The following is a 4,307-nucleotide window of genomic DNA, read 5'->3' on the forward strand; positions in this document are numbered from 1 at the left end:
TCTAGACAAAAACCATGTAAGACATAATAAAAACCAAAGTGTAGACTCAATAAAGAAACCTGGTGTAACCTACTCTTTTGCTTTCTTTCTTTCATTTTGCATTTTTTTAAAAAAATGAGATTCTTTGTTGGAGAAATTCCCATGTGTTTTATTTGTCTCTATTGTGAAGCGAGGAGCAATATTAGGCAGTGTGATTCTAGGATCTGTTAATGAGGGTAAATACCAATCACTCAGCCCAAATGTAAAGATATTTGGCTTTAGAATTTTCAGAGTCAAACCAGTGGTGTTAAACCTGTTTTATTCTGATTGTTACAAAACTACTTCCATTCCCTGCTGTCATCTCAAACAACTTTCTCTGGAAAATCCTCCTGTCAAATACTTGTTTCCCCCCTCCCCCACCCCACCCTAAGTCAATCAAACACATGAAACTTCTTAGGTTCATCCCCTACTAATGTCCAAGTCCAACCCCATCTAATTGCAGTAATGGAGATTTACTTTTGAGCTATTCTGAGGGATGGTTTTATCTACTGGGTGGCAGAGACCCTTTCATGCAGCAGCAAAATATAAGTATCCCAATATGCCCTTTTCATTCTCCTTTCCAGGGCCCAGAGCATGAGATCAGATCAACTCAAATCTCTGAGAAATAGTGCTTTCTACTGGTAGTTATTATTCTGCTCATTTTTAAAGTTACCTTAATTTTTTTTCTCTCCTTGTTGCGCTGACAGCCTGAGGCATCGAGAAATACAAACCCATCCCAAAACACATCCAGACATTTGCTTGTCATGCCTTATGTTTGTATTTTTGACCGTTTGAAAATTAATTAAGAGATGTTGATTTCAAAGTGTTTTTTCTAAGTTTCCCAAATATTTAAACAATTTTTACACACTTTTTAAAATTTCCCCTTTCTCTGTTTGTAATAAGATTAATTATGTGAGGTGCACCGCTGCTTATCCCCATGAAAGAAAATCTAAAACGAGGGATTTCAGCTTCAAGAAGGCTATTTTGTCCTGTTTCCGATGTTCTAAGGGGATTAATTTACCATATCGTATAGCCCTGGAAGACTGTGATAATTGAAAACATCCATATTCATTGCATGTTCAAAGGGATCTGTCTGACTTTGTAATGTAAAAAGTGCATTTTTAACCTGAACGGGGACCTGCATCTGCTATTGCTTAATCCTATTAGTCCGACAGTTCCAAAGCTTTAGTGTATAATCATTAGCTCGTGTTAATCCTGAGACATGCCTCCAGCTTCAGCCTGCCAGAAGGAATCCCTGCAGGGAAAATGTGGAGGTGCTGATAGCACAACACCAACTAATCTTATCTTAAATGCTAGCAGCAGCCTCTATCTGTGATAGCCGGGGAATTAAAAACAAATTTTTTATGGGTATTGGATAGCAGGGTGTTCCTAACCACATCCCCCTACCCACCAGCCTCTCTCTCTCAGCTTTTTCCTTGCCCTAGTTTCCCTAGATTATTTGTTAGGGTGATGCTAGTGATGACAGAACAGGATGAATGGAAACGGGGTGGGCGAAGAAACATTTAAGATACTGTTTCAGCAGTGGAAGCTCCTTGCTAAATCACTTAGGATACTTGCCAGGTCTTCTATCATTTTTATTCCTTGATGTCAGAAAGTTGAGCCAATCCTGTCCTTTGCACTGCTGTGGATTATAAAGTAAGATGACAAAATTTATCTTACAGTCATCACCCCTCCCATGGCATGGCCTCCTGAGAGTCTAAGATCTAGGACCCCAGATACTGATACAAGCTTGCCTAAGTAGAAAGGTAAGCTGCCATAGAGTGGTGAGGCTAGCAGGTGAGGATTTCATGGGTGGGGAAGAAAATGGCCATGGGGGATTTTGAGAGTAGGAGAAAGTGTGGGTTTGCGGATGCTGTAAGAGGTATATAGAAATGTTGTTACTGAGTAGAGTTTAAAGCTGTGTATTTTAGATATAGCTGAAATACAGTTGGGGTAGAACACCCATCAAGGGTACTGTCACTTTGGAAGGGGAGGTTTCTACAGAATGAAAGAGAATATTTAGTCATTTATGTAACCGTTGTTAATTTGACAATCAATATATGCTAATCAGTGGGATTCCAACAGTGAATGTGGCCCCCACCAGTGATTGTGGTCCTCACTCCCATAGAACTTAGAGTGGTGGTCTAGACACAGTTAGTAAACCAATAAACAAAGAAAAAATGGGCACAAAATAAACAATTATACACTATAATAAATTCTAAAGCGTTGTGGTCCATATCCTAAGAGCTCTTTGCCTGGATGTTGTAAATTCAGCTTGGTCATTGGTAAAATGCCTCCAAGGAGGCTTCTTGACAGTGGCATGGTCCTCCTTTTCATATAATTTATCAAAGTTTATTCACCTCCTAAAGAGCCTGGAAATAGCCGGAGGTTACACTCTTTCTTTACCCATCTAAGTTTACTCTTTATTAATTAAAGTTTAGAGGTATTTCTAAATTCATGCATTTTTCCAATGGCATGAATTCTGGCAACATCATGTAGACCTAGTGCAACTGGCAATCAAATAATATGATTTTACTTATGGTGTTTTCTGTTGTGTGGTGGTTCTCATACTATTGGTGGGATGTGAGAGAAACACCTTTTGCTTTAATATTTATATATGTCCTATTATAGATACCTTCTATTTATGACAATGATTTGAAGTTTCTCTTTCAAATTCATTGAGGTAAAGACAGTGAGTGATTTGTCTTAAAAATATTAAGTGAGTTATGAATAGTATAGAAGTTGTAAATGTATGGCAAAAATCTTGAGTCTGGTACTTGGATTTCTTAGTATATGAACAACTACACTGCAAAAATACAATTTTTCTTTTTTATAAAGTAGCGATGATGCAGGACTTGTTGTTCCTTAGCTCTGGTAGGTTTGGGTTCTTGTTTCATGACCAGGAAGAAGTGGACACAAGGATGCTCAAAGAGTGAGCAAGATGGGAAGTTTTATTGAGTGATAAAACAGATGTTAGCAGGGAGGGGTATGGGGTTGTCCCTCTCCTGAAGGCAAGGCAGGAGAGTTCTCAATATGGCTGAGCCTGGGGCTTTTTATGGGCTCAGAATAGGGAGTGTGTGCTAATTGGTTTGTGAGTATGCAAAAAAGGTCAAAGTGAAGATGCCACTCAAAGGTAAGCGTGACAGTGTAGAAAACCAATTAGGAAAGGGTAAGCGTATGTAAAATAGGTAAAGGATGGAGATCAATCAGAGCAAAGTACACCAAACGAGAAGGTGCGTTCTCAAACTGGTTGGAGGATTTAACATGTAGCTTGGCTTTCAGGCTTTAAACTGTCTTGGCTTGGAGGTGGGGTTTTGCCAGGGACCCGCTCCTATCTGCCTATGCATTTGGCTGCCTCCCATTGCTGTCAGTAAGGATTGGTAATTCTCCAGTCATAACTGGGAAAGAAAGAGTTATTGCACTTTCTGCAGACACATACAGCTGTCTTGGTTGAGTAGTTGATCCATCAGGTAATATGCTATTTGTTTGATTAGAGTTACCAGTTGCAATGAACTGAATGTTTGTGTCCCATCAAAATTCATATGTTGAAATCCTAATGCACAATTGATGGTATTAGGAAGGGGGGACTTTGGGAGCTAATTAGGTCATAAGGTTGGAGCTCTCATAAATGAGACCAGTGCCCTTATAAAAGACATCCCACAGAGCTCCCTGGTCCTCTCTTCTTCCTGTGAGGACACAGCAAGAAGTTGGCCATCTGCAAACCGGAAAAGGGCCCTCAACAGAACCTAACCATGCTGGCACCCTGACCTTGGACTTCCCAGTTTCCAGAACTTGAAAAATAACTTTTGTGTTGTTTTTAAACCACCCCAGTCTGAAGTGTTTTGTTATAGCAGCCAGAACTGACTAACACATCAGTGTTGAGCTGTGTTGCAAGTAAGCTGCCTTGACAATATCAAAGTTGGTAACAAGAAAGAAGAGATTCTTGGATGTATAAATGGAAGGACAACTGAAAAAATAAGCAGCTTCTTTTTATTTTGGTTCATTTTAATTAATTAATTCATTATTTTTAGTTTCCTTAGCAAATACAATTATATATTAATCACCTTTTTATTATAGTTCCCGAAGGACAAAAAAGTAGGTTTTTCTCTACCTCCTAAATACTGCCTTTCTACTCCTGATACTATTGCTTTGAAGACAACTGCAAACTTATAGCAGAACTCAACACACAGAATGTCTTAGAAGAAATCCACCATATCATTTATTTCTTTGCCTCCAAGAACATGCCAGGAAAATCCCCTGTAATTAGATTTTAGGTGTCATCCAAACAA

The 4,307-nt window shown here is 39.0% G+C and overlaps 1 annotated feature.

Moving 5' to 3' along the window:
• Window positions 462-1,886: an enhancer, noted in NCBI's record as "VISTA enhancer hs1004". NCBI's record gives its function as "enhancer in: hindbrain (rhombencephalon)[7/10] | midbrain (mesencephalon)[8/10] | limb[4/10] | branchial arch[3/10] | nose[5/10]" and the evidence as "EXISTENCE:transgenic organism evidence [ECO:0001131][PMID:17130149]".

The sequence above is a fragment of the Homo sapiens genome, chromosome 9 (genome assembly GCF_000001405.40).
Source record: "Homo sapiens chromosome 9, GRCh38.p14 Primary Assembly".
NCBI lineage: Eukaryota > Metazoa > Chordata > Mammalia > Primates > Hominidae > Homo > Homo sapiens.